Source organism: Homo sapiens, chromosome 10 (assembly GCF_000001405.40).
Source record: "Homo sapiens chromosome 10, GRCh38.p14 Primary Assembly".
In the NCBI taxonomy this organism is placed as follows: Eukaryota; Metazoa; Chordata; class Mammalia; order Primates; family Hominidae; genus Homo; species Homo sapiens.
Genome location: NC_000010.11, coordinates 29,499,341 through 29,512,059, shown reverse-complemented (window position 1 = coordinate 29,512,059; position 12,719 = coordinate 29,499,341). Strand labels below are relative to the sequence as shown.

Genomic DNA, 12,719 nt, shown 5'->3' with positions numbered 1-12,719 from the left:
CTACAATTGCAAATGCACCTTCTGGCTGGAGGCGAAATGATGCACCGGTGACACACTCCCTGGTCACTTTCTAGGATCAGAAGTCTTCAAGTAGAAAAGAAAAAGAATGCTTTCAACCCGATGATCCCCAGGCCCCTTCTAGCTCTAAAATAAGTTAAGCATCTGTGGAAGGGAGAGATGATGAGTGTGACTTTCATGCATTAAGAAACGTACATAAAAATGAGATGTGCACATAGAAGTGTGAGTCAGGAGTTCTGACACTATTTCCTCTGATACTTCTGTGTCTTCTTAGGTTTCACTGGAATGGCAATTTGAATTCTCTTCTTTGAGACATACATGGTGTTAAAGATGATTTAACTAAAGACATTTAAGCCTTGGCCATTTGTAAAATTCTCAAATATAACTAGATATTTAGAAAGTATATGCATGTGCATATTTTTCACACACCGTGTGAAATTCAGATTTCAAAAATGTGATCCTGAAGTGAAAATCCATCTGTCAAATTATGTATCCCTGCTACCCGCAAACTTTATTTAAAAGAATCTTGAAATCATTGCTTCAAAAATGACTTTAACACATTCCTCATTAGCAAACCTGCCAACTACTATGTCCTGGCACCAAGCAGCGCCTGGCCCCTTGTCCATCATTTTGGAAGGTGCAGAGACTCCCCGGCCCATCAGGAACTGGGAGTCCCAGAGAGCCAGTGGAAATTTAAATGAAGCCAAAAAGCACGAAGCAAAAGAGGTTCCTGGTGAATAGTGAAATGGGTGCACTGCCCCCTTAGAAGAATGGAGGATCACCTTAGGTGTGGAAGCCAGAAGGCTTTGAGTGGAGGATGAGATCCGAACCACCTGAACGCTGGCTAAGGTTTTTAGAAGGCAAGAGAGGCCAGTTGACTGCAGTTGCCCTTGGGGTTGATAATCCAGTGACCTGAAGCCCCGGGACTTGCAAGCAGGCTAGGGCTGGAATGGGAAATGCTGCCTCTGGGCGCGTGGAGGCTGCTGTTTCTGCAGACGGTGAACTCTCCCACTCTTCTCAGTGGCCTGCTTCCCTTTGGCTGGAGACAATAAGCTCTTTGAAGCTAAAATAAGCGGATCTATTTTAGGCCTTTGTAGCCCACACTGGGCAATCTCAGGTTCTGTTGAGGTCAGGTGTTTCTCAGACAGCCTCTGACGACCCCTCGGTTCGTTCCTTCCCGAGGGCTGGCACTGTTTTCAGTCACCCGCCGGCTGTGCTCAGATGTGGTGGGTGAGGCGCCTTAAACCTGGTCTGTCTTGAGGGATTCCCCCAGTAGCTGAGGAGGCTTGACATGCCCACTGCTTGCGGGGTGTCTGAATGCTGCCTTGGAGAAGGACAGACAGTCATGACACGTGGGGCCTGAACAGGGGCGCTTGCTGCACGGAGTAGCTCTAGCCTTGCTGACGGAGAGGTACCCAGGAGAGCAGGTGCCGGAACCTTCCATCTTTAGCACCAAAGGCAGAAAGGAGCCGGCGTTATGGTCAGCTCATCACGCCCTTCACGGTTCCTACGTTCCTTTTGTGTGCTGAGAGGCTGCTGCCGTGAGTGTGCAGTCTGTGGAAATGTAGAAGAGGCAGGAAAGAGAGGGGACTCTAGAAGTTCCTTCCATTGCTCCTGTGAAAACACGTGCAACATAGAAGTCAGCACCATCCTGTAAAAATAGAATGTGTGCCACACAGGTCATTTTGAAATTTCCTTGGAGTCACATTAAAAAAGTACGATAAAGGATGTCTTGAAAAATCTGTAACTGTTTTGTTTCTGTCAATGGATTGGTCTCAAAAGAAAACATATTTGAGGGGCTCCAGCCAGCATCTCATTTTAGGTCTTTTATTATGTTAAGATTTACTTTGGAGCCAAGCTCAATGGCCGTGCCTGTAGTCCCAACACTGGGAGGCCAAGACAAGAGGATTACTTGAGCCCAGGAGTTTTAGACCAGCTTGGGCAACGTGGTAAAACCCCATGTTTACAAAAATTAACTGGGTGTGGTAGCGCACGACTGTGATCCCAGCTACTTGGGAGGCTGATGCAGGAGGATCGCTTGAGCTCGGGAAGTTGAGGCTGCAATGAGCAGTATTTGTGCCACTGCACTCCAGCTCGGGTGACAAAGCAAGACCCTGTCTCAAACAAAAACAAAAACAATTTTGGGCCTGTGAATAGATATTAAGCTGGAGTTTTCATTCCTTTTTTTTTTGAGACAAAGTTTCATTCTCGTTGCCCAGGCTGGAGTGCAATGGCACAATCTCGGCTCACCGCAACCTCCGCCTCCTGGGTTCAAGTGATTCTCCTGCCTCAGCCTCCCGAGTAGCTGCGATTACAGGCATGTGCCACCATGCCCAGCTAATTTTTTGTATTTTTAGTAGAGACGGGGTTTCTCCACGTAGGTCAGGCTGGTCTCAAACTCCCAACCTCAGGTGATCCACCTGCCTCGGCCTCCCAAAGTGCTGGAATTACAGGCATGAGCCACCATGCCCAGCCTGGAGTTTTCATTTCTATACTAAAAGATCAAGCACATCTCAGGGAATAGGAAACTTACCAGCAGTTCCTTCTTTCCCCATTTTACACACCCTCCCCCCAAAATGAGGATTGATGATCAAGAGCTTAAGAGCACTAATTGTTTACCTAGCTAGTTCTGTCATTTCCTGTGAAAAACTGTTTGGGTATTCTCTCTCTCTCTCTCTCTCTCTCTCTCTCTCTCTCTCTCTCTCTCTCTCCCTCCCCCTCCTTCTCCCTTTCTCTCTCCCCCTCTTTCTCTTTCTTTCTCTTCCTTGCTGCCCTTATTATCTTTCACCTGTTCTTGGTATAGTCTAGGCCAGGCTAACCTGACTTAAACATGTGTGAGTCTCGTAGCATATATACTTGGTCTAAAGACGGTAAAGCTGTCTGTTTTGTGGATTTGGTCTGGTCTGCACGGTGTGGTTTATGTGCACTTGAGCATGGCTTGTGTACACTTTCCTCCAGAGTAACTCATTCCACCAGAGAGAAATCAAACGAAGCAAAGTCTCAAAGAAGTGGTTTGGCAGCAGTCTCTGTTACAACTAACTTTCAGTTATGTATTTATTTTCACCAAATAGTTATTTTCAATTCCATCCCTATTTCGGTTTATTCGACGTTAAGGCACACACGGTGGCTCCCACGTCTTTTGTGAAGATAGTCATCCAGCGAATCAGACATTTTCCAAGAAGTGAAAACCCTTTATAGACTTGGCCATTAAAACCCTGTGTCTGTTTCTGAGTTCCAGAGGGAACTGGATATCCCACTGTGCTTCTGCAGCTGTGAGGTCAGTGTATCCAGCTCAGATCTATGACAGCCCCAGAACAAGTGCCCGAAATTTCAAGAAAGGTGAATCTGGCACATTTATATGCTCAGTGTCTGCTGCCATTGAAATTCCAGATCATAGTGCAGGAGAATGAAGTCACTTTAAAGTGCGAGGATGGGAGGGAGAGAAAGGCTGAGGGAATGCTCTCTAAACTCCAGATGATCATTCTGCGGTCACGGAATGAGTTGGCCTGAGGTTCACATCACCCTATTGTGTGAGCACGTGCATGCTGCTGTTTGAACCCAGGCATGAAATACTTGAAGGTGATTGCGATGCCCTGACCAGGCTCTTCTCTTCCAATACTCTGCCATGTTCCCTGTTTGTTTTAACCTGTAGGAAGAAGGAGGAGTTGCGGATGATAGTGCCATTTCTAATCTGCTTTGGGTAAGCCTGACTCTAACACAGGTGTCCTCTCGATGGTGGCCAGAATTACACTTCGCGTGGGTAATCCTGATCCTGGGTGGTTCCTTCGTGCACCCTCCCTGGTGCTTTTCTTATCTCCAGACCAGACACAGCCTTTGTCCGGAGTGGAGAGCTGAGCCCGTGCCCTTAAACTATTTTTTAATCATGTAATGAAGATACTTTAAAGAAGATGATATTTTCTGTTAAATGTTAAAACTGTCAATGAAAGTCATGGTTCCTCTCTCTGTAACTGACAATCTTCTATAAATTAACTCATTTAATTACTGCACAAAGCTGACTCAGGTATATTTACCGCGCTTGTGTGGATTTACTTTAGCATTAGCATTCAAGGGAGGACTCTCTTGAAAAGAGAACTGAAATTGCAATGAGTAAATTAACATTCTGTTAGAAAAATCATTGTTTTGTCTCTCCCTCCCCCATGTCCCTGCCCGGCCCCGCTCTGATAAATCTTCTCTTTTCACCTTAAACCCTCTTGCTTTGCTCTGTAGGAACCTGTATATGCTTCTACTTATTCTCCTGCTATTCCTGCTGCCCATAAATACCTGTCTTTTGTGTCGATTAATCAGGTGAGGAAAAGCCACTCATCTTAAGCCTCACTGCAATTTCTGAGCAATAGGAAAAGAACTTCTGTTTTAATTTTGGGAAATAACTTATTTGGTGCATTTCACTTTGAAAGAGAGGTGTGTGTGTGTGTGTGTGTGTGTGGCAGTACAATTGTGTGTGTGTCCATGAGAGTGTGTATCTATGAGTGTGTATCTGTGAGAATGTGAGTGTGTGTGTCTATAAGAGTCTGTGTGTGTGTCTTTAAGTGTGTACGTATGTGTGTGTTTAATTGGTTCTTCATATATTTAGGATCAGTCACACACACACTGATCCTTGGCTCAGATTTTCAGGTGGACTGGATGGCATTAATTCACCTCGTAGTCATGAAACTGGTTTAAGAGGAGAGTGTCCCCTTTCAGCCTCTGAGCTTCGATCCTGAGTCAGGAGCCCAGGAGATGCAGCCATGTTCTTCGCTCCAGCTCAGTGAGGATGTTGTCCTACTCAGTTCATAGAGGAGGAGGATATGGTGGAGGCAGTTTGGGGTGTGGAGGGACAGGGAGGAAGACTCAGCGAGGGGAGGCCCCTCCAGTGACCCTATTAAAGAACCAGGAGGAGCTGGTTCCAATGGCCCTATTAAAACTAGAGACCATGGGCCCCCTGCCTCTTCCCTCCATCCTCACTGTAGCCTCTCTGAACCCCACCCCAGAGAGCAGACCCCAGCCTGGGCTGAGCCACTGTGTGGGTGAATAACATGAAAAATAGGAATGGCTGGTTTCTTTTATTTCACCGTGGAATGTCCTTGGTGTCAAAACAACTCTGCAAAGTGGCACCATCCACTTTTCCATGAATGCCAGGCTCCCATCTCCTCCCTGCCGGGCTTTGCCCCATCACTTCCCTCCTAGGGCCTCTGTCCCTTCCCTCCTAGGGCCTCTGTCCCTTCCCTGTAGGCCCTCTGTCCCCTCCCTCATAGGGCCTCTGTCCTTTCCCTCTAGGGCCTCTGTCCCCTCCCTCTAGGGCCTCTGTCCCCTCCTTCGTAGAGTCTCTATCCCCTCCCTCGTAGGGCCTCTGTCCCCTCCCTCATAGGGCCTCTGTCCCCTCCCTCCAGGGCCTCTGTCCCCTCCCTCTAGGGCCTCTGTCCCCTCCCTCTAGGGCCTTGTCTCCCCAGCAGGACTGGGGCTTTCTTAGCTCTCAGGTGGCCTCTGACAGTGCCGCGATGGGCCTGCTCCAGCAGCACCAGCAGTTATTGAATGAGTGGCTCAGGGTTTCACATGCGAAGCTGACAGGGAAGGTGTCTGGGGTCCTCCCGTAGTCATCTCGCCTCTTCACAGATGGAAACTCCCCACTTCTTCTCCCTGGGGCGGCCTTTCCCTCACTCTCCTGGTTCCTTCCCCCGAAGCTGGAAATGCTGGTTGTAAGAGCCCAGGCCCCACGTACCCAGCCAGTGTCCACCCCAAGAAAGGGGCTGAAATGTGGAGCAAACTTCCCATTCCATCACGAACGGGGGAAATGAGCTTGTGTTTCTTTGAAATAAGCCAATATTAAACTTTAAAGGAAAAGATATATTACTGAAGTCTTTAAGTGTATACAGTCGGCCCTTCATCTCTTCCAGTTCCGCATCCAAGGATTCAACCAACTAGGGATACTTGGGAATAAAATCAATAAAAAAGAACAATACAACAGTTAAAAAATTAAAAACCAATACAGCAGAACAACTATTTACATAACATTACCTTGTATTAGGTATTATAAGTCATCACGAAATGATTTAAAGTACACAGCGGGGATGTGCACAGGCTGTGTGCAAATCCTACCCCATTTTACATCAGGGACTTGAGCATCTGTGGATTTTGGTATCTCTAGGAGGTCCTTGAACCAGTCCCCCATAGACGCTGAGGGACAACTAGATATATTTTTCAGAAGAATTTATTTTTTTGGAGCAGTTGTAGGTTCACAGCAGAAAGTACAGAGTTCCTGCATCATCCCTGCCCTCCCACACACAGCCACCCCAATTATCAACATCCCCCTCCAGAGTGGCACATTTGCTACCATTGATGAACCTACGTTGACGCGTCATTATCCCCAAAGTTAATAGATTACGTTAAAATTTACTTTTGGTGTGGTCCATTCTTTCGGTTTTGACAAATACTTAATGACATATGTCCACCGTTACACTATCATACAGAATCGTTTCCCTGCCCTGAAGATCCCCTGTGCTCTGCCTGCTCATCACTCTCACCGCCCAGTCCTTGGCAACCGGTCATTTTTTACTGTCACATGGTTTTGCCTTTTCCAGAATGTCATTGAATTGGAATCACACAGTATGTAGCCTTTTCAGATTGGCTTCTTTCATTTAGTAATATGCATTTACGATTCCTCTGTGTCTTTTTAAAATTTTATTTATTTTTAAATTATTATGATTATTATTATTATTTTTGAGATGGAGTTTCACTCTGTTACCCAGGCTGGAGTGCAGTGGTGCAATCTTAGCTCACCGCAACCTCCACCTCCCGGGTTCAAGCGATTCTCCTGCCTCAGCCTCCTGAGTAGCTGCGATTGCAGGCGCCCGCCACCACACCCCAGGTAATTGTTTTGTATTTTTAGTAGAGATGGGGTTTCGCCATGTTGGCCAGGCTGGTCTCAAACTCCTAACCTCAGGTGATCCGCCCACCTCAGCCTCTCAGAGTGTTGGGATTACAGGCGTGAGCCTCCACTGTGTCTTTTTATGGCTTGAAAGCTTTTTTCTTTGTATCGTCGAATAATATTTCATTATCTGAACGTGCCACAGTTTATTTGTCTATTAATCTACTGGAGGACAGCTTGGTTGCTTCCAAGTCTTGGCAATTATGAATAAAGTGCTAGAAGCATCCATGTGCAGGCTTTTATTTGGATGTAAGTTTTCAACTCATTTGAGTATCAAGGAGCATGATTGCTGTATCATACGGTAAGAGTATGTTTAGTTCTGTGAGAAACCTCCAAACTGTCTTCCAAAATGACTGTACCATTTTGCATTTCCATCAGCACTGAATGAGAGTTCCTGTCGCTCCATATCCTTGCCAGCATTTGGTGTTGTCAGTGTTTGCATTTTTGCCATCCTAATTGATGTGTAATAATGTCACCTTGTTTTAATTTGCAAGTCTCTAATGATGAGATTTGCAGATATGATGTTGAGCATATTTCCATGTGCTTATTTTCTGTCTTATATCTTCTTTGGTGAGGTATCTATTCAGATGTTTTTCCCATCTGTTAATCTGGTTGTTCATTTTCATATTGTTGAGTTTTAACAGTTCTTTGTATATTTGGGGTAGTAGTCCTTTATCAGATATGTCTTTTGCAAATATTTTCTCCCATTCTGTAGATTGTCTTCTCATTCTTTTAACAGTGTCTTTTACAGAAGTCTTTAATTTCAGTGAAGTTCAGCTTATCAGTTATTTCTTCTGTGGATATTGCCTTTGGTGTTATATCTAAAAACTAATCACCAAATCCAAGATAATCTAAATTTCTTCCTATGTAATATTCTAGGAGTTTTATAGTTTTAATTTTTACAGTTAGGCTTTTGTGATCCATTTTTAGTTAATTTTGGGGAATGGTGGAAAATTTGTATCTAGTTTTTTTTTACATATGAGTGTCCACTTATTCCAGCATCGTTTGTTGAAAAATACTATCTTTTCTTCATTCTAATGTTTTTGCTCCTTTCTCAAAGATCCGTTGACTAAATTTATATGAATCTATTATTGAGCTCTCTATTCCATTGATCTATTTGACTGTTCTTTCATCAATACCACACAATCTTGATTGCCGAGGCTTTATAGTAAGTCTTGAAGTTGACTGGTGTTGGTCCTCCAACTTTTTTCTTCCCCTTCAGTGTTGTGTTGGCTATTCTGGGTCTTTTGCCTCTCCATGTAAACTTTAAGATCAGTTTGTCAATATCTACAAAATCTCTTGCTGGGACTTTGGAACTGCATCGAATGTACAGCTCAAGTTGGGAAAACCTGCCATCTTAACAAAATTGAGTCTTCTTATCCATGAACATGGAATATATCTCCATATATTGTTAAGTTTAAAGGAAATTAACATTTGCCAAAGGCATTTCTGTTTCATCACTTCAAAATTAAAATTTCAAAAAATTATATACTTTTACCTCTGAACAATGTTTCCCAGCTAAATATAAATAGTTTATATACTGAGTATGTAGCACTAGCTCATCTGTGTTTTCAGAGGTCAAGTCACTCCTTTTCTTTCTTCCAGCAATACTGGTGTCTTAATATTTAATAATACAAAGGTTCAGAGAAGAAAAAAAGCACACAGGCTCTGTCTAAATGGACTGTTTGTCTCTGTGTCAGGCTTCAACCTGAATTCTTTCTCACATGCCTCAGGGCTGTACCAGAAAAAGATTTTACTTTATTCCCTTCCTTTCATCTTAGGAGCTGGTAGATGGTGACAGGACTGGAAAACACTTACTTTGAGGTCTGAGCCTTAACCTGTGATCTTTTCTTCATCTTTTATTCAGGGTACTTGAGGGTGTATGCAGTGACGAGGGACTGAAATTTCTCTTAAGGAAGGGGCAAAGCTAAATTTCTTTCATAGTGTGTAGAATTTGAAATGATCTTAGCATTTTTGAAAACTGAAAAGTACAACTTTGTTCCTTTCACCTTATTTCTATTACTTAATATGTGCTTTTATAATTTCTTCCTTTACAGTTTAACTACATGTGAATAAGATAAAAAAAATTTTAAAAGCCAGGTCACAATATTTTATTTCGATAAAGCTCTCTGGTTGTGGAAGAGTTTGACCCTTAAATCCGCCCTAATCCTTATAATACATCTTAGTTCTATGCTCTGTGTTGGATCACATCCCTGCGTGAGAAACATTGAGTGAGATTTGCTATGATTTTTCAGTCAGTGTATACAGAGAGAAAGAAACCCATCAGCAACATCAGGCAACCTAAAAGTATTCGTGCTGATTTGTCCTTTGCACAGTTTCAAGCTGTGACCTACCAATATCTGACCATCCCTAAGACAAGAACCTCCTTTCTACCTATTTCACTGCCTTCTACACACACACACCCACCCACCCACACACACACACACATGTGCATACACATACACAAATACTCAATTTCTCTTCCACCCTCTTTTTCTGCCTTTCCCCACCACATTCGTGGGATCTGTCTTTGAAAGAATGAAGGACAGATGGGGTAGGATTCTGTTTAGATTCTTCCTCAACTCTCTCTTACTATTCCAGCCAATCCCAAACATGTGTCAGCTAAACCTGGAAAAATGACACAATACTTATTACTATATATATAACATCCTTCTCTAAACAAGGAAAGAAAAATTTAGAAGGAAAAAAACAAGACAATAATGAAGTTTTAAGCTTAAAAAAATCAAATGAACAAATATATATATCTTCTTTGTTCTCACATTTTGAGTTCTAAATTGTGATAAATATTTATTAGATTATTTAGAGAATAAACAAACTGTATATGCTTTACACCCTTCTAGAGCCACGTAAAGTTGAATTGCAGCAATTAGGGGGTCCTAAGCTAACCCTACTAAGTAGCAAAGTTAAGTCAAAATTTCTAGAAAACAAAAACATTTATGTTTAATATTACTATTCAGAAGGGAGTAAAAATTATTTCTTCTTGCCCTAGGTCTGGCAAACGAATGGGAGCTTTAAATTCTAAAATGGTTGTATCATCCCAAAGTTTGTATCCATTGTGTGCATAAAGGGCTCTGAGGGAATCCCAGTGCTTTGAAAAACGAAATTTTGGATTTGAAGATACCATTTTTCTGAGTCATTATCCACACCCACTACCCCACCCTGGACTGTTGAGATGCCTGAGAGAATTCACCACAGAGTTGACTAAGTGAATAGTGAATCACCACAGTGATGGCTGGACCTTTGGAGACGCCAACTTTCTTGGCACTTGATGTTTCTTGGAAATATTTGAAGCCAAGCGCCATCTTGGTTTGATTAAAATTCACTCCTGAAACTTCGTTTTCAAAGAAAACGTATTCTCTTTGTTGAATTTTGATGAGGTCTTTCGGGCAAGTGAACCTCATCGTTTATTTAAAAAGGATACGTGATTCAGAGAGTTACTTGGAATTAGGGGCTTCTCGCCGATCACGAGGGGAAATGTTCAGGTTTTTAGGAAAAAATTTTAGTAACTTTGAATTTTGATAAAATGTTAAACTTACAGAAAAATTTCCATTATAGGCAGAGCACTTTCATACGCTTTACCAGAACCACTCATTGTTGACATTGGCCCCCCTCCTTCACTCTCGCTCCCTTCCTCCCTCCACTCCTCACCCCACTTTCTTGCCTTCTCTTCCCCCATCTCATTTTTCCCACCCCAACCATGTGCCAGTAGTTTGGAAACATTGTGCTCCTCTACCTTTCAATATTTGACTTTATTTCCTAAAGTCAAAGATATTTCCTCGCATAACCACAATATGGTGGCCAAGAGGAGGAAGTTAATGTTGATACAATATTTATCTGATCCACGTCCATCTTAAAATTGTCAGTTTCCTCCAATAATGCCCTTTGTAGCCCCCACCCCATCTAGGATTCAAGCCAGGATCATGCATCGCGTTTGGTTGTCATATCTCTTTAGGAAAAGGTTTTTAACCTAATTTAAGTTGGCAGGGACCTCGAAATCACTTCTGGCTATGAAGGCTTTATAGAAGAATCCTGTGAAAGACAGATTCATCACTTAGATGATGGAGAAGTCCACGTTCATAGCTTAAACCAAATCTTCCCAGTGCAGACCTGGTTTTGTGCTGCTGGAAAGGAAGGGAAGGCGCCTTTCCTCTGTCAACTCCCATCATTCCAGGGGTTAAGAAAATGAACTGTCCCCATCTCCACTCTCTTCCTGTCCCTCCTGAATCAGGAAGTTCTCTCTCGTGGGTCAGTGAAGGGAAGTGGTTTGCCATAGTGAGGAGGAAAGGCATCGGGGAAGAGAATCTCTAGGATGGTCTTGACTCGGGGCTCTCCGAGTCCTTCCCTGTGTCAGCGCGAGGCCTTAGGATCACATTGATCCATGGAGACTTCTTAGCCAAGGAAAATGCCTTAGGAAGGCAGAAAAGGTGGGGGACCTGCTAGAATAAGTTGAGTAGTGCTCAGAAGTAATTTGAAAGCAGATGCGCTAGCAGCAATCTGGGGAACCTCCTAGAAGAAGGTGTGGAGTGCTCAGATGTAGTTTGAAAGCGGATGCGCTAGCAGCAGCAGCCTTCCTCGGGTTCAAGAGACAGTGGAAAGTGAGAGGGCAAACCCAGGAGGCCATCACCGGCCTCCAGAGCCCCTTCCAGAAACCAGCAGGTGACAGCCAGGGACGTGCCTTCTGCTCTGGAGGGGGCACCTTTGCACTCTTCCTTCCTTGGCATTAGCTCCACACCTCCTGTGCTTCTCCCCCGCTCCCCACCCAGCCCAGTGCCTCGCCATAAACAGGGGTCTTGCGGTGCAGGGAGGGATGGCTTGAAGACAGAGGAAAAGCAAACTCTGCCGGCCAGCGTTTGAGGACCTCCTGCCCTGGTATCGCCCGCGACCACCACCTACACTCTTCTCCCCAATACACATCACTCAGTGGCATGAGCCCTGTCCTCTGCTTCCATCGCTGCTCCTGTCCCTCCCTCCTCAGCCCCATCTCCCCATCCCAGGCCTGTCCTGAGCCCCTCCTCCTTTCCTGATGCCCTTTGAGTCCCCTGTAGCTTCTTCCCCTTCCCCTCCTGCCACATCCCCAACCGCAAGCCTAATGAGCATCATCAATGGCTTGGAAATGGAAGAAGCAGATCTCTCCAGAAATATTCCAATTAGAAACTGCTGAGAGCATTTTCAGTAGAAATGTTACCGTGCATGTAGGTTTTGTCTACAGCATAGTTCACCCTCAACATCAGATGTCTCACAGTTTAAAGCCACTTCTGTGGGCTCTCCTGGTTGTCTACCTGCCCGCAGAACATCAGTGGCTGCAGGAAAAAGCAAGCAGAGTGCCAGAAAACCTTCTCCTGCCCCTTATTCCTAACCAGCCTTCCCTGTCTCTAACTGGGCAAGTTCCTTGTGTGCTCACATGGATAAAGTTTTCTAGATCAATCATGTTCTTTGTGAGTATATAGGGATAAAAATCTCCCAGTTAACTGAGTTTAACTAGATGGGTTAAGACAGAGAAACTTTAAAACCCTGTAGAGTCCAGGGCATGAAAACAATCTATTTTTAATTGTTTGTGCTTACAAAGGATTGTTCTGGTGCTCCAGTGCCCCAAACCAGTAAGTCACAGGACAGAGGCATTCATCTAAAGTTACAGCATCGCCAATGGTGATCTCCACCCAACCTGGACGTAAGGAAGCCAAGCCCATTTCAGATAGAACATTTTTGAACATCTTTGGACAATATACTTACTCCTCTTTGTCAACCTGCTTTTTTCACT

General features: G+C 44.1%; 1 protein-coding gene across 4 annotated transcripts in view, besides 1 other annotated feature; it reads left to right on the top strand.

The window, feature by feature from the left end:
- Positions 1 to 12,719, top strand: part of SVIL (supervillin) — a 279,599-nt gene that overhangs the window by 224,877 nt on the left and 42,003 nt on the right. The gene's annotated exons all lie outside the window — the stretch shown is intronic.
- Positions 9,505 to 10,704: an enhancer, noted in NCBI's record as "P300/CBP strongly-dependent group 1 enhancer chr10:29790285-29791484 (GRCh37/hg19 assembly coordinates)". NCBI's record gives its function as "activates an origin of replication core promoter dependent on BRD2, BRD4, P300/CBP, MED14 and CDK7 cofactors, with strong dependence on P300/CBP, by STARR-seq in HCT116 cells {active_cell/tissue: HCT116}" and the evidence as "EXISTENCE:reporter gene assay evidence [ECO:0000049][PMID:35650434]".